Source organism: Homo sapiens, chromosome 4 (assembly GCF_000001405.40).
Source record: "Homo sapiens chromosome 4, GRCh38.p14 Primary Assembly".
Classification (NCBI taxonomy): Eukaryota; Metazoa; Chordata; class Mammalia; order Primates; family Hominidae; genus Homo; species Homo sapiens.
Window position 1 is genome coordinate 72,078,755 of NC_000004.12, and position 26,202 is coordinate 72,104,956.

General features: G+C 35.7%; 1 protein-coding gene across 4 annotated transcripts in view, besides 1 other annotated feature; it reads left to right on the forward strand.

Annotated features, from left to right (window-relative positions):
* Positions 1-26,202, forward strand: part of NPFFR2 (neuropeptide FF receptor 2) — a 116,306-nt gene that overhangs the window by 46,755 nt on the left and 43,349 nt on the right. The window lies entirely within an intron of this gene.
* Positions 15,720-16,219: an enhancer, noted in NCBI's record as "H3K27ac hESC enhancer chr4:72960191-72960690 (GRCh37/hg19 assembly coordinates)". NCBI's record gives its function as "activates a minimal SCP1, AML or CMV promoter by ChIP-STARR-seq in primed H9 embryonic stem cells {active_cell/tissue: H9 hESC(primed)}" and the evidence as "EXISTENCE:reporter gene assay evidence [ECO:0000049][PMID:30033119]".

Consider the following 26,202-nt stretch of genomic DNA (forward strand, 5'->3'; position numbering starts at 1 on the left):
CCTACAAACATACCCAAATTTTTGACAAAAATGTAAAAGCAATTCAGTGGAATTATGCTGAGTGGAAAAGGCCAATCCCAAATTTTCCATAATATATTATTCCATTTATATAACATTTTAAAATGACAAAATTATAGGATGAAGAATAGATTAGTGGTTGCCAGGTTTATGGAAGTTGGAGGGTGGGAGGTGGCTGTTGCTATAGAAGGGTAGCACAAGGAATACTTATGATAAAACTGTTATTTTGACTGTAGTCATGGTCAAAGAATCTACATGTGTTATAAAATGCATAGAACTAAACACACACACACACACACACACACACACACACACATCTGTTGAAATCTGAATAAGCTCAGTGGATTGTATCAGTGTCAAACTCCTGCTTGTGGTATTGTACTGTAGTTACGCAGGATGTTACCTTTGAGTGAATGGCACATAGGCTCTTCATTGTATGATTTCTTACAACTATGTGTGAGTCTATAGTTATCTCAAAATAAAATGTTAAAAAAAAGCAGGAGACAGACTATAAATGGTTTGATCTTCGTCTTCTATTTTTTTTAGTTCCTATTGAAAAAAACATTGTAAGCTTTCAAATACTACATTTGGATGATAGCCTTATGAAAGATTTTGTGGTTTGATGCATGCAAATTATTGCTTTAAAAACATATGACCAGTTAGTCAACATAATCAACTTATGTTACCAATCAGCACTATAATTAAGAAATAAGAACATGATACCAAAATAAACTCAAAATAGATCAGAGACCTAAATGTAAAACTTTAAGCAATAAAATATCTAGAATAAAATAGGAGGAAATCTTTGTGACCTTGTTTAGGAAAAGATAAAATTCATAGATCAGACCTCATAAAAATTAAGAAATTCAAAAACCAGTACTGAGGGAATGAAAAGACAAACCATAGATAGGGGGACAGTATGTTCAAACTACACATCTGATAAACAACTTGTATTCAGAATGTATCAAAACATCTCAAAACTCAGTGTACAAACAACCCAGAAAAGTACTTACAGCCAGATTAGCTTTGCAGCATATGTCCCCTGGGCCCTGCAACCCTGTAGATTGATGCAGTGAGAGCCAAATGGAGACATCTCTTACATGATTGTCAGATTTTACTTGTTGAATGAGGAAAACAGAAAAAAATACATTTTTGTGCTTTTAAAGGGAAAAGAAACCAACTTCCCCTCTTCCCTTCTGAGAGAGGCTCCTTGGATATGTAATGGAAGAAATGCACACTCTAGCTCTTTGATATATAAATAATTCTCTCTAGGAACCAAATAAGTTCAGTATCTCCAGGTTTCACAACATAGAGATGTCTCTAAAGTTCTGGGACCAATTTCTTTTGAAATATAAATACCTGTTTTTTGTTGTTGTTGTTGTTGTTTTTTTGTTTTGTTTTTCTTTTTTTGAGATGGAGTCTTGCTCTGTCACCCAGGCCGGAGTGCAGTGGTGCAATCTCCGCTCACTGCAACCTCCACCTCCCGGGTTCAAGAAATTCTCCTGCCTCAGTCTCCTGAGTACCTGGGATTAGAGGTGCTCACCACTGCTCCTGGCTAATTTTTGTATTTTTAGTAGAGACAGGGTTTCACCATGTTGGCCATGCTGGTCTCTAACTCCTGACCTCGTGATCTGCCTGCCTCGGCCTCCCAAAGTGCTGGATTACAGGTGTCAGCCACCACGCCTGGCCTAATCTAAATATTTCTAAGAGAAGTGAAACAAACATTATTTATCTTATACTATACATATTTCCATGTTTCATGGACCTGCAGCTTTGAAACATGGGAATAAATCCAGGTTTATTTTCTCACAGTGACATTATGCTAAAATTAGAATATTTGTTCCTCAATTTCAGCTGAGATCCAAAGATAGAACATACCAATTTGTTCTAGTGTCAACTGTATTGAACTAGGAGCTATGTTCTCCATAATCTCCTTAATCTGTATACTTCCAGCTTAGAGTTGGATAAGAGAGGAAATCCCATATTAGGAGGTTAAAGGGAATCAGGGGCCTTTACTCTCAGAAAGATCTAAGTTTGAGAGTCACTGACAACTACAGAGGCGCTCGGCTTTTCCTCACTTTCCTCTACTCCACCAGCTCTTCTTCCCAACTGTTGACCTTGAGGACCAACAGCGGTTCCAAGCCTGCCCCCAGTTGCAGATAACAGAGGCCACACTGAGACATCTTCCCCATAGATCCCTCCACAACCTCCCTTATACAGTCCCTCTAAGGAAGCTCAACTTGCTTGTCTACTCAGATGTCACTGCCAACTCCTAGTGGTCCTCTGCTCCAGTGCTTCAAGATGACTGTTTAATGACTTTATCTGCAATACTCCAAAACTTCCCTCTGAAAATTCACCTCCCCAGCAATTCCTACTCTTGTCTAAGACAGGAACGGGCAAAGTATCTACAGTCCCATTGCTTATTTTTTAAAAGAAAATTTTATTAAAACGATTATTCCCATTTGTTTCTGTATCATCTGTGGCTGCTTTCTGCTATACAACAGAATTGAGTAGTTGTGACAGAAGCCTTCGGGCCTGCAAACCCAAAATATTTACTGCTGGCTCTTTACAGAAAAGGTGTTGATGTCTGCTGTAATGTATAATTCCTATAAAAATTCCATATTCCATTATGTTTCTCCCTTCCTGACTGAACCTTCACTGATGTTCTCACTTAAATAGGACATGTAAAGAAGATGGCTAATAATTGATTTAAGAATTGTTTTTTTTTTTTTTGAGACTGAGGTCTTGCTCTGTCACCCAGGCTGGAATGCAGTGGCATGGTCAAGCTCACTGCAGCCTCAATTGCCCAGGCTCAAGCGATTCTCCCACCTCAGCCTCCTAAGTAGCTAGGACTACAGATGCATGCCACCACACCTGGCTAATTTTTTCTATTTTTTTGTGGAGATGGGGATCTTGCTATGTTGCCTAAGCTTGTCTTGAGCCTCTGGGCTCAAGCAGTCCTCCCGCCTTGGCCTCCAGAAATGCTAGGATTACAGGCATGAGCCACCACACTCAGCCTGATTTAATAACTGTTAGTTCATCTCCAAATAGGCACCCCTAAAAAGTTTTACAGAGGTTTAGAGTCCAGTGAACAATTGGAGAGGGAATTTCCTTGAAAAACATTTTGTTGAACAGCTGTGGCATTCTCCCTTGCCCACAGTTTTTCCATCCCACTACCATATTCTTACACATTTTATAGGCAAGACACAGGGATATTCTAAGATCAAGCCTTGTCAGGGAGTGGGATGAGGGTTGGAGTAGCTTTAAGTAGACCACATAAGTTTGATACTAGAGACTTGTAACTGCAGACTTAACTGGCAAGAGACTGGCTATGGTGCCTATGGCAGCAAAGTACATAATTGTGTTTGGAAAGTAACTGTATTCCCATCACAACTTCAAAAAGGATGCATGTCTCCCAGATAATACATATGGAACCTGATGTAGAGACATCAGCATAAGACTAATTTAGAAAGAACCACTTTCAAGACAACTTCCTTCAAGGAATAGGAGGAGCTCAGCAAAAAGACTGGAATTGTTCCATTCAATGAAGAAGCCAAGGGGCTAGGTATATCCTCTCTGAGTCTCTCTTTAATTCATTCCAATCAGGCTGTCTGCCTACCTGCTCTAGCAAAGATAATCTTTTCTAGTTCATCTGGAATATCTATTTTGCCAAATTCAATGACTACTCTTTGGTCCTCATTTTACTCAACTTGTTTTTCTTAAACTGACATTTTATTTTATTTATACACTATATAATTTGTTATAGATTTTTATTGTTTATATTTATGGTGTACATTGATGGTTTGATATATATGTATTGTGGAATGATTACATCAGGCTGATTAATATATCTATCACCTCATATAAATCTGCATCTTTTTTTGTGATGAGAACATTTAGAATCTACTATCTTAGCATTCTTAAGTATACGCTACATTATTATTAACTGTAATTACCTCGATGTACAATAGATATCCAGGCTTAATCTCCTAACTAACTGAAACCTTGTATCCTTTGATCAACATCTCCCCATTCCACCTGCCCACCCCAGCCCCCACTCCCTGGTAGCCCCTATTTTCCAATCTACCTCTCTAAGTTAGACTTCTTTATATTCCACATATAATTGCTATCATGCAGCACATTTCTTTCTGTACCCAGCTTATTTAACTTAACATAATGTCCTTTAGGTTCATCTGCGTTGTTGCAAATAACAGGATTTTCTTTAAAAAAACAAAACCTGAATAGTATTCCACTGTTTGTATGTGTATACATTCATATGTATATGTGTGTGTGTGTATAAACAACAGATAAATTGATAAAAAGTGACATATGTATCACACTTGAATAATGGCTACTGTGAATAATGCTCCAATGAACACAGAAGTCCAGTTATCTCTTCGAGATACTGATTTAATTTCCTTTGACTCTATACCCATAAGTGGAATTTCTGAATCATATGGTCATTCTATTTTTCATTTTTTGAGAACTCTCCATACTGTTTTCTATAATGGTTGTATTAATTTATATTTCTACCAACAGCATACAAGGGTTCTCTTTTGTCCACATCCTTCCAACACTTGTTATATTTTGTCTTTTTGATAATAGCCCTTCTGATAGATGTGAAGTAGTATTTCATTGTAGTTTTAATTTGAATTTCCCTGATGATTACTGGTGTTTGGCAGTTTTTCAGTACCTTAGCAGCATTTGAGTATTTGCCATCAGTGACAACTGTCTCCTTTTTGAAATAACTTTATTGGCTTTAGGAACACCATGTTCTCCTGGTTTTGTTGTACCTCACTTTCTGTTCTCAATTTCTTTTGCTGGATTCACTTCCTCTGCCTAAACTCTAAATATTGCAGGACTCTGAGCTTGACTCTGGGCCCCTCTCTTCTCATCGACCTTCTTTTCATAGGTGATGTTTTCTGATTCCACAGTTTAAAATACCATCAATATGCTAATAATTCCCAAATTGATCTCATTATCTTCTATCTCTCCTCTAAGCTCTCAGCTCATAAAACCAAGCACTTTAAGTCTCCACTAGGCTCTCTAAAAGGCATCTTATATTTAGTACGGCCAAAACATAACAGGCTTTCCAACATAGGTAAATGTTACTGCATTCCATTCAGTTCTCAAGTCAAAGCTAGAGCGTGTTTGCTTGCTCTCTTCCTTTCTACTCAAGTCAGATCCAATACATTGTCAAAGTCAACACTACCACCACCAAAGATCACCCATCCATCCTTTTCTCTATATTTATAATGCTATCACCTAACCTAAGACAGCAACATCTTCCATGTAAACTACTAGAATCACTTCTTAACGACTTTCCTGCTTCTATTCTTGCTCCTCTCCTCTGCCCAAACCATTCTATATAACAATCAGAAACATCTTTTAAAAATGTAAAGCAGGTAATTTTCTCCCCAGTTTGAAACACTTCATATTAGGAAAAAATTCATTTCCTTTACCATGGCTTGTAAAAATTTACTTAAAACTGATTTGATATTTGCAGTCTCTTATCTCAACTCCACAAAAGAATAGAAAACAGTATGTTGTAGCTGGGAAACTGCAAAACATTAATATGGCTGAGGATAAAGGTAGATATGTGAAACTTTGGAAGGTGATGAGACTGAAAATATAGAAAGGATGAAATTGAAAAAGACTTAGGAACTTAGAAGTTGAGACTTTCCTCAAGGAATTTGAACAATAAAATGACTATATCAAAAATTACACATTTTTAAGACCAACTGGCAATAAACTAACTTTGGTTTATCAATGATAAACAGTGCCTCAGATTAATCATTTTAGCAGATGTTTTAGGTGACCCACTCATTCTTTCAGCCCACGTCTGATTTCAGCAACAGCTGTGGTGAACAATTTCTGCAAACAATGTCAACTTTTCATCTCAAAAGAGGCCCACTCTCAGCGTTTGTGCTTCAGTGCTTTCCTGAAAGCAGCAGGTCTCTCAACCTGGAATGAGGGACACTGAATGCCTTAAGGGTGTCTGGAGTCAGTAGATAAATGCCCTGGCCACAGGTCATGATTTCCACATATTTACTCAGAGAGCTCTTTTCGCCCACAGCACTAGGCAGCTGGAAAACTGGACTTTATTGAGTTTTCTTCTTTCACTTTCTCATTTACCCTGTTCACTCACTCTTGCTTCCTGTAATTGCCTCCCAAATATGGCATCCAAGTCCTTGTTTTAGACTCTGCATTAGGTGGAATCCAAAAATTACAGACAATCATGCTGTTCTTTATTCGAGAACTATTAGTTGAGAATAATGTGCTTAAAAAAAAAGTCATTAAGACATTTCATAAAATAATGGTAAATCTTCTAAGAGTAAAACTAGAAATGTATGGGATGAAAAGACAGATACCAACAAATGTTAATACTAGTTAGTACTATTTTCCACATTCTTCAGCCCATATTAGTTTTTTTGGTAGCTATTTCAACTGACATGAGGTGGCTCTCAGCTGAACATGGAGTTATTGTTTGCTCTCAGTTTCGTATCTTATATAATAGCAGTGTCAAAATCCTGTGAAATCTGAGCAATCTTCAGCTGTGAAGGACAAGGGAAGAAAGTCTTTTGAGACAAAGGGCTCGTAACTTGGATTCTTGTTTTTTATATGTATATTTTGCATTTCAAGCTTCAGCCACAAGCTTTTTTTTCCCCAGCATATATTTTATGTTTTTTCTCTTTCTCTTACATGCCTTAATCTACTTCTTCTTTTGTTCAACTAAATGTATGCCATGTTGAGATCCTCATAGCATAAAACCTTTCATTTCAGAGTTGTTTCTGCATAATTGCCTAGGCAAATGGTATTCTACCATTAAATTGTTTCACTTTTTATTGACATCATTACTGATTAAGGAGGACAACTAAATTATGTTAGGTTCAATTAAGTAGGCTGATGGGACAATCCAGATGTAAAGAAATGCTAGTTATGTAATTTTTAAAAAAGCCTCTGAACCCTCCTACACTGACTACATTTCCATCCCACTCTTCAGCACATGATTTTTTTACAGCAAACTAAAGTTTTTAAATGAAACTAATGGTTAAAAATTAAATTATCTTTTTGGTAAGTCCTAAAAGTACAAGTTTAGTGTATATACATATTGTCACAGCAAGCCAAAATCTAAGAAGAAACAATGGAGGGAAAACATGGATTTCTTTGTCTTATAAACTGGAAGAGAGCAGGTGCTTTGTCTGATTTGCTTGATACATACCAAGAAGATGCTCAATAATGATCACTCGTTATCAATGTGCCATTGGTTATCACATCACAAGGTTATTATGAGCATTCTTTATATTAAATAATGGATAGAAGATTACTAAATACCAAGCACATTGTAAGTGTAAAATAAATGTGTTTTCCTTGGTATGCCCTATTCTCATTTGTTGATTAATGCAGCAATCATTGCTTTATATTGAAGGTTGAAAATAAATTTAAATAAATAGTCTGTGAACTAGCGAAGTCCATAAAAAAAGGTTTAGATCCTTGTTGTTTTGCAGTGTGGTAATGGTTTCAGCTTTCTTAAGCTCTCCTAAGTAGGTAGCAGTCATCTTACGTAGATAGCAGTCTGATGGACCAGAACATGGATATCACTAATAACTCTGTATTTCTGTCTCACTGTAAGCAGGCTACGTTATTTTCAGCTATTTTTGCCACCTATAGTGCTCTATTTAGAACCTCTTAGAATGTAAGCTAGCAAACTGACAATTAAAAATTAGGTCTTAATTAAGTAAGGGTCTTGTGAAAATTTAGTTATTAAATATGTAATTTATATGTTTATTCTGATTTTCTTGATGATTATAAGGAAATAACTATATGTCTATTCACTTCAGTATTTTTAACTAGTTAACAGAGAAAAAAGTTGAAATTAATGATTTACATTAGTTAGTTCTGTTTAGTATCCAGAATACTTTAAAATCTCATTAACCATATTGTATGCTATCCTTCAATAATGGATCCCCTTAAATAAAAAATATTTTGGAACAGTTGATTGCTAATGCAGAATAAATAGTAAAACAATTGTTGGTAGAGATTGAGCTCCATATAAATGTAAGATGACACCATGTTTAATAAAGAGTTATGCATCCCATGGGAACACAAAAATATATTTCCTAGATTACTGAACTGTTGATAAACTATGATATGCACATTTAATAATAATAAAGTTAGTAAGTATTTTGTCAAGTCTGTAATATCTGCATAAACATTCTGACAGAGAAATTGGGAGAGAAAAAGAAAATAAAGCCTTTATTTTCACATTTAGCATTAGAAGAGTGGTAGACTCCACCAGAAATACCAACTTGGGTTGAAAGAGACCATTTTGCGCTAAGCTTATATTGATGATGTACGTATTTTGGTGTGAGGATTTTGCCTTGAAGGTACATGCCAGCTCGTAGGAGTTCGATTTAACATTCACCTCTAAGCACTGAAAAATCTGGGTTATGGTCAACGCAGCAGCTTGCTACAAATAAAATTAAGACTCACCTGAGATTCTATGAATTGCTTTACTAAAAGCCTGGTTGTTTAACATTGTTGCTAAAGTTCTGGGAAGAAAATCCAAACACAACATATAAAAATAAATTTCCATGGCTCCTACTGTTTCCTTTGGAAAGGCAGATAATACAATTCTTATTGCCTTTTATTTACAGATATTGTTACAGGAAAGATAGATTTGACTAAAAATGTCATCTAGGAAAATTTTAACCAAAATTAGAAATTTTGCTAGTGATCTGGGTTGCTAAGAATCTAAGCATTAATACATGATGGTCTTGTGTAGGTAATCTTCTTCAGTTGTGATGGATGAGAGCCCCTGTATAGGATGGGGAAGGAAAGAATTCAGAGAAATAAGCTAATATCTGAGTAATAAATTTAACAGAAATTTGAGAATGTCCCTAGATAAGGCTGAAGATAAAGGAGAACTTTGCTGCTTTTTAGAAAGGAGTGGTCAGGACTGATGGAAGAAGGGAGAAAATGGAAGGGACTGGAGAGTGTGAGAACGGTTCCCACAGGCTGAGATTAAGGAAATTAACTTTTCCCTTGAAGAAAACATTTTTTTCATGGTAGCAATGACAGAAGAACTTTGTGAAAAATGTTATCTAAAGTCCAATTTAAGGCTGTTTCATTTCTGGTTCTGCTGCATTTTTCTGGCATCATCCCCCCAAAAATAGCCATGCAAAAGTGTACCTTGAAAATTAAATGGGAGGTCAAGAAAGCCAAAGAGGGGAGAATTTAGTGAGAGCCAGAACCTGGGACCAGAAGAGAGACCAAATACCTCTTTTCACTACTTAATTTCCTCAAATTCCGAGAGAGAGAGAACTGGATTTATCACAGTCCACTGGGTAGGATAATAGCGACTTAAAATAGACATTAACAAAAAGGCTTATCTCAGAAGTATAGATAAAAGTAAAGTACACATTTTTTTGTATGATTATTAGTTAGGTAATGAATGGGTGAATTTCTTGGGCTGCCTCACTAATTTGTGAACTATGTTGCGTATTTATTTAACTCTATATTTCTACCACATTCTTCTTTTCTTTCCTGAGTGTCTCTAACATATTGATGAAAATGTGTAGGTTTTGACCTTTAAGGGAAGATGAATTTTAAGGAGCAGATTTTAAAAAAATTATTCAAAGTAAGTAATATAGCTTACATTTTAAAGATAGTTTATAGAATATACATATATATATAGACATATGTAGAGAGACTATATGAAGGCATACATACTTCTATGTGTATGTTTGCTTTTGTAGATTTGAAGAATTGTATTTCTTTTATTTTTTAATTTATAAAGAAAGGAGGCTTAACTGACTCACAGCTCCACATAGCTAGGGAGGCTTCAGGAAACTTACCAATAGTGGCAGAAGGCAAAGGGGAAGCAACACGTCTTACATGGCAGCAGGAGAGAGAGAGAGTAAAGGAGGGAGTGCCACTTTTAAAACCATCAGATTTCCCAAGAATACACTCATTATCACAAGAACAGCTTGGGGGAAACTACCCCCATGATCCAATCACCTTCCACCAGGCCCCTCCCTTGACATGTGGGGAAAACAATTCTTTTTTTTTTCAATAGGTTTTGGGGGAACACGTGGTATTTGGTTACATGAATAAGTTCTTCAGTGGTAATTTCTGAGATTTTGGTGCACTCATCACTTGAGCAGCCTACATTGTACCCAGCGTGTAGTCTTTTATCCCTCAACCCTCTCCCACCCTTTCCACTGAGTCCTCAAAATCCATTGTATCATTCTTATGCCGTTATGTCCTCATAGCTTAGCTCCCACTTATGAGTGAGAACATAACGATGTTTGGTTTTCCATTTCTGAGTTACTTCACTTAAAATAATGGTTTTCAATCTTATCCAGGTTGCTGCAAATATCATTATGTTGTTCCTTTTTATGGTGAGTAGTATTCTATGGTATATATGTACCACATTTTCTTTATCCAATTGTTGATTGATGGGCATTTGGCTGGTTCCATATTTTTGCAATTGCGAGTTGTACTGCTATAAACGTCTGTGTGTATCTTTTCCATATAATGGCTTATTTTCCTCTGGGAAGATACCCAGTAGTGGGATTGCTGGATCAAATGGTATATCTACTTTTAGTTCTTAAAGGAATCTTCACACTCTTTTCCATAGTGGTTGTACTAGGTTACATTCCCACCAACAGTGTTAAAGTGTTCCCTTTTCATCACATTCTTGCCCACATCTATTATTTTTTGATATTTTGATTATGGCCATTTTGGCAGGAGTAAGATGGTATCATATTGTGGTTTTGATTTGCATTTCTCTGATAATTAGTGATGTTGAGCATTTTTTCATTTGTTTGTTGGCCATTTGTATATCTTCTTTTGAGAGTTGTCTATTCATGTCCTTAGCCCACTTTATGATGGGATTTTTTTCTTACTGATTTGTTTGAGTTCCTTGTAGATTCTGGATATTAGTCCCTTGTCAGATGCATAGATTACAAATATTTTCTCCCACTCTTTGTGTTACCTGTCTACTCTGCTGATTATTTCTTTGGCTGTGCAGAAGTTTTTTTACTTTAATTAAGTCCTATCTATTTATCTTTGTTTTTGTTGCATTTGCTTTTGGGTTCTTGGCCATGAAGTCTTTGAATAAGCCAAGGTCTAGAAGGGTTTTTTTCTAATGTTATCTTCTAGAATTTTTATGGTTTCAGGTTTCAGATTTAAGTCTTTGATCTATCTTGATTTGATTTTTGTATAAGGTGAGAGATGAGGATCCAGTTTCATTCTTCTACATGTGGCTTGCCAATTATCCCAGCACCATTTGTTGAATAGGGTGTCCTTTCTCCACTCTTATGTTTTTGTTTGCTTTGTCGAAGACCAGTTGGCTTTAAGTATGTGGCTTTATTTCAGAGTCCACTATTCTGTTCCATTGGTCTATTGCCTGTCTTTATACAAGTACCATGCTGTTGTGGTGACTATGGCCTTATAGCATAGTTTGAAGTCAGGTAATGTGATGCCTCCAGATTTATTCTTTTTGCTTCATCTTGCTTTGGCTATGCAGGGTCTTTTTTGGTTCCATATGAGTTTTAGGATGGTGTTTTCTAGTTCTGTGAAGATTGATGATGGTATTTTGATGTGAATTGCATTGAATTTATAGATTGCTTTTGGTAGTATTGTCATTTTTACAGTACTGATTCTACCCATCCATGAGCGTGAGATGTGTTTTTATTAGTTTGTGTCATCTATTATTTCTTTCAGCAGTGTTTTATAGTTTTCCTTGTAGAGATCTCTCACCCCTCTGGTTATGTATATTCCTAAGTATTTTATTTCCTTTCTCTGCAGCAATTGTAAAAGTGATTGAATTCTTGATTTGATTCTCAGCTTGGTCACTGTTGGTGTTTAGCAGTGCTACTGATTTGAGTACATTGATTTTGTATTCTGAAACTTTACTGAATTCATTTATGAGATTTAGAAGCTTTATGGATGAATCTTTACGGTTTTTTAGGTACACGATCATATCATCAGTGAACAGCAGCAGTTTTACTTTCTCTTTACCAATTTGGATGCCTTTTATTTCTTTCTGATTGCTCTGGCTAGGACTTCCAGTACTATGTGAAATAGAAGTGGTGAAAGTGGGCATCCTTGTCTTGTTTCAGTTCTCAGAGGAAATGCTTTCAACTTTTCCCCATTCAGCATAATGTTGGCTGTGGGTTTGTCATAGATAGCTTTTATTACCTTAATTATCTGCCAGTTTTGCTGGGGGTTTTAATCATAAACGTTAATCTATTTTAATCATAACGGGATGCTGGATTTTGTCAAATGTTCTTCTGCATCTATTGAGATGATCATATAATTTTTGTTTTTACTTCTCTTGATGTGGTGTATTACATTTATGGACTTGTGTATGTTCAACCAGCTCTGCATCCCTGGTCTGAAACCCACTTGATCAAGGCGTATTATCTTTTTGATATGCTGTTGAATTTAGTTAGCTAGTATTTCGTTGAGGATTTTTGCATGTGTGTTCATCAGGGACATTAGTGTGTAGTTTTCTTTTTGTATTATTCTTTCCTGGTTTTGGTATTAGGGTGAACTGCTTCATAGAACGATTTAGGGAGGATTCCCTCTTTCTCTATCTCTTGGAATAGTGTCAATAGGATTGGTACTAATTCTTCTTTTAATGTCTGATAGAATTCAGCTGTGAATCCATCTGGTCCTGCACTTTTTATTTGTTGGCAATTTTTAAATCACCAATTTACCACTGCTCACTGCTTGTTATTAGTCTGTTCAGTGTTTCTACTTCTTCTGGTTTAATCTAGGAGGGTTGTACATATCCAAGAATTTATCCATCTCCTCTAGGTTTTCTAGTGTATGTGTGAAAAGGCATTCATCGTAGCCTTGAGTAAACTTTTGTATTTCTGTAGTGTCGGTTGTAATATATCCTGTTTTGTTTTTAATTGAGTTTATTTGGACTTTCTGTCTTCTTTTCTTGGTTAGTCTCACTAATGTTCTATCAATTTTATTTACCTTTTCAAAGAATCAGCTGTTTGTTTCATTTATGTTTTGTATTTTTTGTTGTTGTTTCTATTTCATTTAGTTTTGCTCTGATCATGTTTGTTTCTTTTCTTCTGCTGGGTTTGGTTTTGGTTTGTTTTTGTTTCTCTAGCTCCTTGAGGTGTGACCTTAGATTGTCTATTTGTGCTCTTTCTGACTTTTTGATGGAGGCATTTAATGGTATGAACTTTCCTTTTAACACTGTTTTTGCTATATCCCAGATATTCTGATAGTTTATATCACTATTATCATTCAATTCAAATAATTTTTAAATTTCCCTCTTGATTTTATTGCTGACTCAGTGACCATTCAGGAGCAGGTCATTTAATTTTCATGTATTTGCGTGGTTTTGTGGGTTCCTTTTGGAGTGGATTTCCAATTGTATTCCACTATGGTCTGCGAGAGTACTTGATATAATCTCAATTTTCTTAAAATTGTTGATACTTATTTTGTGGCCTATCATATGGTCTATCATGGAGAAGGTTCCATTTGCTGATGAATAGAATGTATATTCTGTGGTTCTTGGGTAGAAGGTTCTGTAAATATCTATTAAGTCCATTTGTTCTTGGGTACCATTTAAGTCCATTGTTTCTTTGTTGACTTTCTGTCTTGATGACCTGTCTAGTCCTGTCAGTGGCATATTGAAGTCTCCCACTATTACTGTGTTGCTGTCTATCTCATTTCTTAGGTTTAATAGTAATTGTTTTATAAATTTGGGAGCTCCAGTGTTAGATGCATATGTATTTTGGATTGTGATATTTTCCTGTTAGACTAGTCCTCTTATCATCGTATATTGTCCTTCTTTGTCTTTTTAAACTGCCGTTGCTTTAAAGTTTGTTTTGTCTGGTATAGGAATAGTTACTCCTGCTCATTTTGGTGTTCATTTACATGGAATATCTTTTTATACCCCTTTACCTTAAGTTTATATGGGTCCTTATGTGCCAGGTGAGTCTCTTGAAGATAGCAGATACTTGGTTGGTGAATTCTTATTCATTTTGCCATTTTTTGTCTTTCAAGTGGAATATTTAGGCCATTTACATTCAACATTAGTATTGAAATGTGAGACTCTAGTCAATTCATTGTGCCATTTGTTGCTTGAATACCTTCTTTTCATCATATTGTTTTACAGTTCCTGTGAGTTTTATGCTTCAAGGAGGTTCTATTTTGGTATATTTTGAGGATTGTTTCAAGATGGAGAGCTCCTTTTAACATTTTTTATAGTTCTTGTTTGGTAGTGGTAAATTCTCTCAGCATTGTTTATCTGAAAAAGAATGTATCATTTCCTCATTTATGAAGCTCAGTTTAATGGATACAAAATTCTTGGCTGAAAATTGTTTTGTTTAAGGGGGCTAAAAATAGGACCCCAACCCTTTTAGCTTGCAGGGTTTCTGCTGAGAAGTCTGCTGTTAATCAGATAGGTTTTCCTTTATAGTTTACCTTATGCTTTTGCCTCACAGCTCTTAAGATTCTTTATTTCATTCTGACTTTAGATAACCTGATGACTAGGTGGTGAAGCAATGACCTTTTTGCAATGAATTTGGCAGGTGTTCTTTGAGCTTCTTGTATTTGGATGTCTAGATCTCTAGCAAGGCCAGGTAAGTTTTTCTTGATTATTTCCTCAAATATGTTTTCCAAATGTTTAGATTTCTCTTCTTCCTCAGGAACACCAATTATTCTTAGGTTTGGTCATTTAATGTAATCATAAACTTCTTGGAGGCTTTGTTTATTTTTTTAAATTCTTTTTTCTTTGTCTTTGATGGATTGGGTTAATTCAAAAGCCTGGTGTTTGAGCTCTGAATTTCTTTCTTCTATTTGTTTGATTCTATTGCTGAGACTTTCCAGTGCATTTTGCCATTTCTCTAAGTCTGTACTTGATTTCCAGATGTTGTGATTGTTTTTTATTCATGCTATTTTACTGGAGATTTTTCCATTCACATCCTGTATCATTTTTTTTATTTCTTTAAGTTGGACTTCACCTTTCTTTGGTGCCTCTTGGATTGGCTTAATAGTTGACCTTCTGAATTCTTTTTTTTTTTTTTTGTTAATTCAGAGAGTTCATCTTGGTTTGGATCCATTGCTGGTAAGCTAGTATATTTTGGGGGTGATAACCTTGTTTTGTCATATTATGAGAATTGTTTTTCTGGTTCCTTCTCATTTGGGCAGACTATGTTAGAGGGCAGATCAGGGACTCAAGGGCTGCTGTTCAGATTCTTTTGTCCCATTGGGTACTTCCTTGATTTGGTGCTCTCCCCCTTTCCCTAGGGATGGGGCTTTCTGAGAGCCAAACTGCAGTGATTGTTATTTCTTTTCTGGATCTAGCCACTCAGCTGAGCTGCCAGGCTCCACCTGGTGCTTGAGAGTGTTTCCAAAGAGTCTTGTGATGTGATTTGTCTTCAGGTCTCTCAGCTGTGTATACTAACACCTCCTCCGGTGGAGGCGGCAGGGGAGTGAAGTGGACTCCATGAGAGTTCTTGGTTGTATTTTTGCTAAGTACTGCTGATTTTGTGTTCGTTGGCCTCAAGCCAGGAGGTGGTGCTTTCAAGAGCACATCAGCTGCAGTAGTATAGGGAGGATACAAGCTTGGCCTAGGATCAGGCGGTGTGTGGGGCCATGGAGCTCCCAGGAGACTATGTCCTTTGTCTTCAGCTACCAGGGCAGGTAGAGAAAGACAATCAGTGGAGGGCAGGGTTAGGAGCTCAGACTCTCCTTGAGTGGGGCTTGCTGCAGCTGCTGTGGGGGATGAGGGTGTGGTTCCCAGAGGGATTATGGCTGCCTCTGCTGCCTCACACAGGTTGCCAGGGAAGTAGGGGAAAGCCGGCAACCTCAGGCCTCACCCAGCTCCTATGCAGCCTGCAGCCTGAAAGGCTGATCTCACTCCCTCTGTGCCCCTGACAACAGGACTGAGTTTATTTCCAGGGCTGAGAACTTACCCCAGGTTACAAGCCTCCTAGCTGAGAAAGAAAAGGGACTCAGCTCCTCTGCTGCCCCACAGAGCCTGCAGCAACAATCCATCCACTTCAAAAAGTCTGTGGAAGTTCTCAGCTTTCCTGGTATGTTCCTGCCGTGGTTCTTGGAGAAAAGGTTCACAATTTGGGTCTCCACACACTGTCCTGCCCATCCAAGTGGGAGCTGCAAGTTAGTCCTGCCTCCTATCTGCCGTTTTCCAGAACTGTATTTCTTTACCCACTCATTTATTTGCTGTTTCCTATATTTTGTACAAAAATGACTAAAAATTATAACTAATAAAGGTTATTTTCCTACATCTTCCCTCTTCCAAGGCTTTTTCATTGTTTTCGTTAATGAATTTTTTTTGAAAAAAGAAATGAATATTATGTTAACTATAATATTAATTTTCAGAAGGATAGTAAGAAGACGAGTCCCAAATCCCAATCCTCAGAAATAAACACTGTTAACACTTGATGGACATAATTACAGATATGTCTGCTGGTGTGCTGGAACTGGCTTGTACTGGCTTCTGAGAACTAATTGTGTGCATCTTGTCCCAGCTCTGTACCCAGGGACATTACATTAGTAGACTGAAATCAGTCATGATGGGAGTATTAACACCACGGAAATAGACTACACTCAGAGGCTCTTTTTGTGTTGCTGTTTTTTGTTGTTGTTTTGAAAGCCATTTACTAAAGATTTGCAAGCCCATACATCACTGAATATATCACTATGAACAGATATAGAAAGACAGCTAAACATTTTCTATAAGGAGACAGACAAAAATTACCTCATGGTCTACATTATAATATTTAATTAAATGTATTCAATTTAAAAATATTTTTAAATTTTAGAAGAAAGAGAAATTGAAGTGAAATTAAAGGAATTGCTAAATTCTGGCTGGTGGGGAGAGGCACTATTATGGGCCCTATATAAGCCCCAGTACTGCTCACTCTTATCATTTAGGGAGGGAGAGGACAGTTCACTTTCTGTGCAGCTCTCACCTTTCCAGGAGTCTGTCCTGAAGATTTTAGCTGCCTTGGTGTTCCTGGACTTTCAACTGTCTCTTTAACTCAGAAAGTTCACGGGGCTTAGCTCATTCTCTGCTCCGTAGCCTCAAAACTCTCTCAAGGCAGTAAGCTAGGCAGGCAGCCATGGGGCTCTCCTTATTTGTTTTCCAACTCTCAGTCATGAGTGTCATTTCTACCTGATGTCTAGTGTTTTAGAAATAATTGTTTCAATATATTTTGTTCATTATTTGTTTGTTTCAGGTGAGAGAGGGAATCCAGTTTCTGATATCCCATGTGGATAGAAGTTCTAAGGATATGTGTGCAAATATAAAGTCTTTTTTCAAATTATGTTGATACTGTGGATAGTTTAACATTCCTTCCAATAATTCCCTACCTTTACAAAGGTCTGATAAATGCCAGCAAAATATTAGATGGTGAAACCTTGATAAAATGAACGGTACCAGGTAAATATTGGTAATTTTAAAAAAGATGAATAGGCCATGACATCTGTTTTGAACCTAAAGCTGAATATCAGAATGAATCTTCTGCTTTTGTATTAGCATCCATGGACTGTCAAGCCTTTACATTTTATTAGGGTAACAATAATCAACACTGTATTTATAACATGCATTCATGATCAAACATCATATTTAATAAATGCTGTTGAATTAATGTAGTTTTGTTTAGAAATGCAGCCTGAATAAAGTATTACAAGACAAACATAAAATTACATTTTTAATGTGCAGTTTTGATAACTGTATATTGTTAAATATATATATACAATTTTGAGGAGAACACCTATCTCAATTAAAATTCTTTTCGAGCATCTACTTTTAATATTGTATGAAGGAAGCTACATCAGTATCAACCAAGCCTCTTTTCTTTAGAAATGTATGATTTTAATGAAATTTACCAACCTGGGGATTGTGACAACTAATTAACATCTTACTTATATACACTAGATATTTCTGTTCACTCAGTTGTATATTCATGTATTCAACAAATTGTTTTATACAGATGCTCCTTGACTTACAATGGAGTTACGTCACAATGAAATCATCAAAAGTCTAAAATATCATAAGTCAAAAATTTAATACCCTGATAAGCTCATTGTAAAATAAAAAAATTTAAGTAAAACCATCATAAATTGAGGACTGTCTATGTAATACAAATATTCTGCCATAAATAAAATATTGTTAAAAGTTTAAGTTGTTCTATAGACAATTTAGAATGTAAAATAATGCTTATAATAATAATAAATGTTCTATCAGGTATTATAGAATACTAGATGGTCCTACATTTTAGTTTTCTAGATAATTGAAGTTTTCCCTAAATAGAATCAATAATTTCCAAAAGGGTTACCTACTTACCACATATCTTTCTAAAGTACATTCCATGTATTTTGTTCTTTCTACATAGGGCAAACTTTTAAAATTTATAGTTTCACTAATAATTCAGTGTCAACACTTGCATTATCAAATACCGTTTTTGTGGCTATAATATATTATTGTCTTTAGAAAATGTGTGAAATTGATGTTCCCTACATGAAATTTTCCAAGACTTTATGCCTTTTTAAATATGTCAGTGTTTTATAGTTTTCCTCTGTCTTTCTTTATTCAGGCTTTTATATGGCCCTTTTCTAGTTCTGTAGTGATTCTGTCTTCATCAGCTTTTCCTCTCTCAATTCTAATCTATTGTGACCAGCTCATAAGGTAACCAAGCTAATTAGAATAATGAGTTTAATAAAATTGGTCTGTGAGTAATGCCTTAAAATATGGACTTTATAGTAAAAGCTTCACTGTAGTCTTTTAACTACTGGAGACTTTTCCTTGTTTTCTTCCTGCTTCTGGATTCTTGAATTGAAATTGTTCTTTGAAGTTTTACATTTAAACTGCACTTTCACATCTAGAAGAAAAATCACATCTGTAAACTACACCCAAGTCCAGGGTGATAAAGCCTTAATCTGAAAGAGACCACCATACTTCTGAGATGTATCTAATAAATGTTTAGCTTTTCAAGAAGATTGTGCAGAATATACAACCCCCAAAATACACAAGTGGGAAGAGTGTTTTCAAATTACCTCATTTGTTGGTTGTTGATGTAATTTAATGAACTGCAATATACCCTTCAGATTAGGCTCAAATAACTTACCTTCTTGGAAGCAATTTCTGACCTTTCAGATAGAGCTGATAGATTCTTCCTTTATATTCTTCCTACACCACAAATTTTTTCTCTATCTTAATCCCATTATATACATATTTGTTTACATACAAGTCTTGCTTTTTAGATTGAAAGTTTCCAGATGACAAGTAGAGTAACTTAAAGAATCTCTAAGCCAAGCACAGTGCCAACATAAAGTAAGAGCTCAATGAATGTGCATTGAATAGATGGATATTCCCTTTAGCAATTATGGAAACAACATGATATTTTATGAAATCTATGGGATTAAACAAATAGCATATAACGTACTGTGTTATGTGACTAAGGTCACAAAGATGAGTAAGATATAAGCCCTTACTGTCAAAAACTAGACATATGTAAAAAGAGATAAAATGGTACACAAATAACCGTGGAGCTGTATTAGTTGAGATAGGCCAAGATATGCTCTAGTTCAAGTTGGTCCAACCTGTGGCCCATGGACTGCATGTGGCCCAGGATAGCTTTGAATATGACCCAACACAAATTTGTGAACTTTCCCAAAATATTATGAGTTTTTTTTGTCATTTTTTTTCTTTTTCAGCTCATTAGCTATCATTAGTGTTAGTGTAGTTTATGTGTGGCCTAGGACAATTCTTCTTCTTCCAGTGTGGTCTAGGGAAGCCAAAAGATTGGGCACCCCTGCTCTAGTGAGTAATGAGTAAACCCTCAAATCTTTGTGGCTTACAACAATAGAATTTTCTTTCTGCTTCATCCAAGTTGGAGGTGGGCTAGAAACTTTACTCACTCCTCTCCGAACCATGACACAGGGATCTGGGCTTCTTCTGTCATGTATCTGGGCCAACTCTGAGTCTTTGCCTCCAAGAAATGGATGGGAGAGACAGACAGAGGGAAATGGGCAATTACAATATACCGTTCCATGAGGAGCCAGTTTGAAATAGACATGTGTCACTTCTTGTCACATTTGTTTGGCCAGAACTTGCTCTATTACTCTGTATTGGTTCAAGGGGCTCAGAAATATATTCTTCCTGTCTGCCTAGGAGGAGAAAAACAAATGGTCTGATTAGCACTGTGGTATGCAGCATACAGTATTGCCTCTAGCTCAGTTGCCAAGTGCAAGTATGAAGTCAATATGTACAGGCAACTTATAAAGGAACAATTTACTTATATAATACTTCAACTTATTTCTTATCACTATACTCCAAGATGTTTTCCTGACGTGTCATTAAATTACAAGTATAAAAACCTCTCTTTAGACAAGAAAGCATAACAATCACATGCATCTTAGCACTGCTGAGCTTTTATTTCATTCACCTCCTGATAAATTGCTGTTTGTAAATATTGTGTTAATGTCTGTTGAGACCAGAACAATGGATCTGGTAAAAAATTGATTCAATTAAGAGATAAAGAATGAAGTTTACCATTATTTTACCTTTTTGGTGACACCAATAGAACCATGTATTTCGTCATTCTTGCATTGCTATAAAGGAATACTTGACACTGGGTAATTTATAAAGAAAAAAGATTTAATTGGCTCAGGGTTCTGCAGGCTGTACAAGCATTGCACTGGCATCTGCTTGGCTTCCAGGGAGGCCTTGGGGAGTTTTTACTCATGGTGGAAGGCAAAGCTAGAGCAGGCATATCACATGGTGAGACCAGGAGCAAGAGAGAGGGGGAGGAGGTGCCACAAGCTTTTGAACAGCTCGATCTCATGTGAACTCACTATTGTGAGGAAAGCACCAAGCCATGAAGAATCCACCCTGATGACCCCAACACCGCCCATCAGTCTCCACCTCCAACACCGGGAATTACATTTCAACATGATATTTCAAAGGAACATCCAAAGCATATCAAACCATTTCTTAAAAAAAACTTGGCATTTTATTACTTTACTATGGTTTAGTGGTATAATTCTTTATGCTACTATCCCTAGAGAACAGACATATGTGCTGTGTATGTGTCACACACACACAGAAACACACAAGGGGCCCATTTCCACACATATACATAAATATCAGTGGTCTTGGCATTGACCCAATGTCTGAATTTGTACCTTCAGACATATGGGAATATTTTCATCTCTAAAAATCATTTTGTACATTAATGTTTAAATTATAGCTTCATATTTGATATAAAAATTCTGACTTCTAACTTAATATGTGGTTATTATGCTGCTACTCAGTGAATGTATTTTCAACATTTAAACATTTTGTCCTTCAAATTATTAATCATTTTTCATTCTAAAGATGACTATAAGAAGTACAAGAAAAACATTATAGAATAAAAGTACGTATGATTTGGTCTCCATATTTTACAAATGAAGAAATGGCTTACTACTGGCTAAGACAAGAACTCAAGAATTGTAAAAAAAACTGTATAGGTTTTGGATTCAGACACACCTGGATTCAAATTTTGGCTCTGTTGCTTAATTTCTGTGTGAATATGTATAAGCTACTTAATCTTCCTAACTTTCAGTCTTTTTATTTATAAAATAGGTGTTACAGTACCTGAATTTCAGAGTTGCTGTGATTAGATGAAATTAGATAATTAGATGAAAGAAGAAGAAAGAATGTAGCTGTATAAAATTCTTGTTATCAGCAGCAAATTTCTGACTCTCTGATAATAATAATTGGATATTCTTATACTACTACTACTAATACTAGTACTATTATCAGTTTCTTTCTAAAGTCCTTAAGGACTTATCAGAGCAACTTCAAACTAAAATAGAATTTAAAAGTGTACTTTTCTTTTTCATTTGAATACTATTATTAACAGGTTGAGTTTTGGCAAATAGTTTCCCTGTTAATATAATTTCTTGAATTTGACAAGTATAACAAAATATGTTATCTGAACACAGTGGTAATAACATAATAATTGAACACATCACAGAGCAGAGAATTAAAATGATGTAGACTTCAGAAATTTCTTGTATTGTTAGAAAAACGAATAAATGGCAAGAAAAGGATGATTTATTGTATGGCTGTTATCTTTTTAAATCATCTTGGTAGAAGGTATAGGAAGTATCTTTCTATGCATTTTCCATCATCATGGGTTCATATTGAGAGAAATCATTCTATTTTTTTTGTCAATGATAGTGTCTCATTGCTAAAACAACTGCTTGAAAACAGTTTTCAAAAACTAGATTTCACTTTAAAGAAAAAATAAAAATCTACACTATTTCCACTTATTTACATTTTAAATAATAAAATTACGTTAAGAAACAAAACAAAATAAATACGTTTGCCAAAATCTATCTGTCTTTGTTCTTCACATCACTTCATTTTATTTTAACAAATTTACTGAGGTAATTCACATGCCATACAATTCTCCTATTTATGCACATTACTTCTTGAATAAGATATTCCTATGCCTATCCAATCTAAGAATCCCAAGAAAAATCAAAATAAACATATCGATATTGAATATCAACTCTGTAAAAACGATCAGAATAGACTAGAATAGGTGCTGGGGTGAGACAATTATTTATATGTTTTTTCTCTCAAGGTATTAACTTTCAAATTAGAAGAATTGGACATAGGTACATTAATAAAATATTTAAATAAAATATTAAAATATGTTATATATAATAGAAGAGATACTATAACATACTCAATGACTAATAATAAAATAGGGGTCATAAAATAAAAGTGATTTAGGAATTTCAAGGAAGAATATATATTTTACACTATATTAGTTGATAAAAATTTCCTAGATGAGATAAAATTTAAGTTAGGAGTTCAGAGAAGGCCAGAAGAGAAGGGGAGTTTTCCTGGGTAAAGGGGAAAGAAGGGGTCAAAACATCAACAAAAGCAAAGGAGTAGAAAACCATAAGACTCCCTCAAGGAGCAATATGTGAAAAATAATCAGCTGGAACAGAGTGTTGCCTTTGAGGAGAATTATAATGTATTCTCCAGCTGGGACTCATGGGCAAGGTTGTTAGCCAGAAGATATACCTAAGCCCATCCAATCTAAGAATCCAAAGAAAAATCAAAATAAACATACAAATATTGAATATCAACTCTGTAAAAAAGGTTAGAATAGACTAGAATAGGTGCTCCAAAAAGCCACAGGATATGCAGCATAGCTTATCATATGGAAATACCATATTTCCTTGGGACTAATTAATTGAAGATGTGATTTTTGTTTTTGAAAACTCATATAAATTGGAATTTTATGTCATTTTCAAGTGTTTCAGCTGCTCTCCTTAAAAATCATGAGTATGGGTTTATTCTCCTTAATCATTTCAGCTTTTTAGTGGAAAAAGCTGATTATCAAGAATTAAAAAAGACAAGATTACGAGATCAATTGGGTCCTGTTGGTGGAAAAACTTAAATGTCAGATTAAAGAGCTTGGACTTTGTGTTAGAAGTAAGGAGCCTTAGAAGAATGCTAAACTGTGGGAAAGTATACTAAAAAATCTTTCAATAAATTAATATGGCAACTTAATATACAGGATGTATGAATGAGGAAATTATTATTATTATTATACTTTAAGTTTTAGGGTACGTATGCACAACATGCAGGTTTGTTACATATGTATACATGTGCCATGTTGGTGTGCTGCACCCATTAACTCGTCATTTACATTAGGTATATCTCCTAATGCTATCCCTCCCCCCTCCCCCCACCCACAACAGTCCCCGGTGTGTGATGTTCCCCTTCCTGTGTCCATGTGTTCTCATTGTTCAATTCCCACCTATGAGTGAGAATATGCGGTGTTTGTTTTTTTGTCCTTGCGATAGTTTGCTGAGAATGATGGTTTCCAGCTTCATCCATGTCCCTACAAAGGACATGAACTCATTTTTATGGCTGCATAGTATTCCATGGTGTATATGTGCCACATTTTCTTAATCCAGTCTATCATTGTTGGACATTTGGCTTGGTTCCAAGTCTTTGCTATTGTGAATAGTGCCGCAGGAAACATACGTATGCATTTGTCTTTATAGCAGCATGATTTATAATCCTTTGGGTATATACCCAGTAATGGGATTGCTGGGTCAAGTGGTATTTCTAGTTCTAGATCCCTGAGGAATCGCCACACTGAGTTCCACAATGGTTGAACTAGTTTACAGTCCCACCAACAGCGTCAAAGTGTTCCTATTTCTCCACATCCTCTCCAGCACCTGTTGTTTCCTGACTTTTTTATGATTGCCATTCTAACTGGTGTGAGATGATATCTCATTGTGGTTTTGATTTGCATTTTGAATGAGGAAATATTATAGGCTGAAACCAGCTTAGAATGTGCAAACACAAATGATTTATTAAGGCAGTTGCATCATTTTCAGAGCCAATTCTATTATGTGATTTATAAAAATTGTTTAAGGTCTGCTACAGTTTGAATGTCTCCCACAGAATTTATATGTTGGAAACTTAATCCCCAATGTGACAGCATTGGCAGGAGGAGCCAAATGGGAGGTGTTTAGGTCTTGAGGGCAGGATATAAATGGCTGTCAAAAGAGGATTTGCTCTCTTGTGCACTTTGACCTCCTGCCTTGTGATGACACGGGAAGAAGGCCCTTACCAGTTGCCAATGCCTTGATCTTGGACTTTCCAGCCTCCAGAACTCTGAGGGAATAAATTTCTTTTTTTTTATATTTTACTCGGTTTCAGGCATTTTGTTATAGCAGCACAAACGAATTAAGCCAAGGCCCATTGTCCTTGACTAATTCTTGAAGATTAGAGGGCTCACTTCATTGGAGTCCAATATTGCTAATTTAAAATCTAATAATTGTATATCATCAAAAAAAATCTGTGAAGGCAATAAACTTTCCTTTATGGAAATAAAAAAGACACTAAATTAGTTATGCCATATCATTTCAAAGTTGAACTAATAGAAAATGTTACCCATTAATGATTTATGTTGTCTTTATCAGAAACAAAAAATGCCTTCCAAATACATTTTATCAAAAATCATTTAAGAAATACATCTCGTTTTATATAAGAAATTAAAGTGAGTCTAATCCCAAACTATTATAAATAACAAGTGTTGATCTCCTCCTCAGTCCTCCAAGAAACAGAACCGGCAAATTTCTGAAATTGTTCTAAAAAAATCAGTGATTATTTCAAAAGCTGGTAACAGTTTTTGAAGATTAGCATTCTTGGTGGAATATTTAATGAGCAGTTTAGCTGTAGTTCCCTAGCAAAATGAAGAAGTCCAGAAATTGTGAAAAACATATGGAGGCAAATGGCAAGGTTCACCATCCCCTGCCCAGTGGGATCTCAGCTACATCCATGTGATCCCTCAGCCATATTTAGGTCTTTCGATTTCTGCAGATGAAAGAACATTCTTTCACAAGAAATAGAGAAGCTACCATGATAATAAAAGCTCTTTGGGTGCCCCATCAGATGTAAGCTCTCCTTGATGATGATGTCGATTATCATCCTGTTATTTTTGGCATTTATTCATTTTCTCTCAGGCATGGGACTTTGCCTCATAATAAGTAGGAGGGCCTCAATTTCTTGAAGCTGCCAGAGCAACCATATTCCAACTATCATTTTTTTCACAAATGCTTACAAGATAATGTATAGTGAACTTCCTGGTTGAGAACGTGAAATGTTTTTGTACATTTCTGAAGAATGGCAAACTACCTAGCTTAAATACCCCGTGCCTAATTTCCACTAACATTGTTCAAGAGTCAAACCTCATAAACCCCAAAGCATATATAGCTAAGGGTGGAATAAAGGTGGGCTCAGAATGCTTAAAGCCCGTTATGTCCCATGTTATAAAGGACTCAGAACTAACTTCTACCCCTGGTACTTTCCTTATGCTTCTCTTAATGAGGTCTTTCCAAAAGATATAGGTGTCATTAACTCCTGGAAATCAATTCTTCCTTCAATATTGTTGCAGGCATTAAACCAGAAGTGACTATTAATATCAAAGGAATATTTAAGTTACAGGAGAATTAGTATGAAATATACATTCATATACATTAATATGAAGTATACACTCATAGGGTATTGTTAGGTGCCATAGGAAATTGAGAAACCTGTTATCTTTCCACAATCCAAATATTTAAGAATTAACTATAGAAACATATGTACATAAAGAA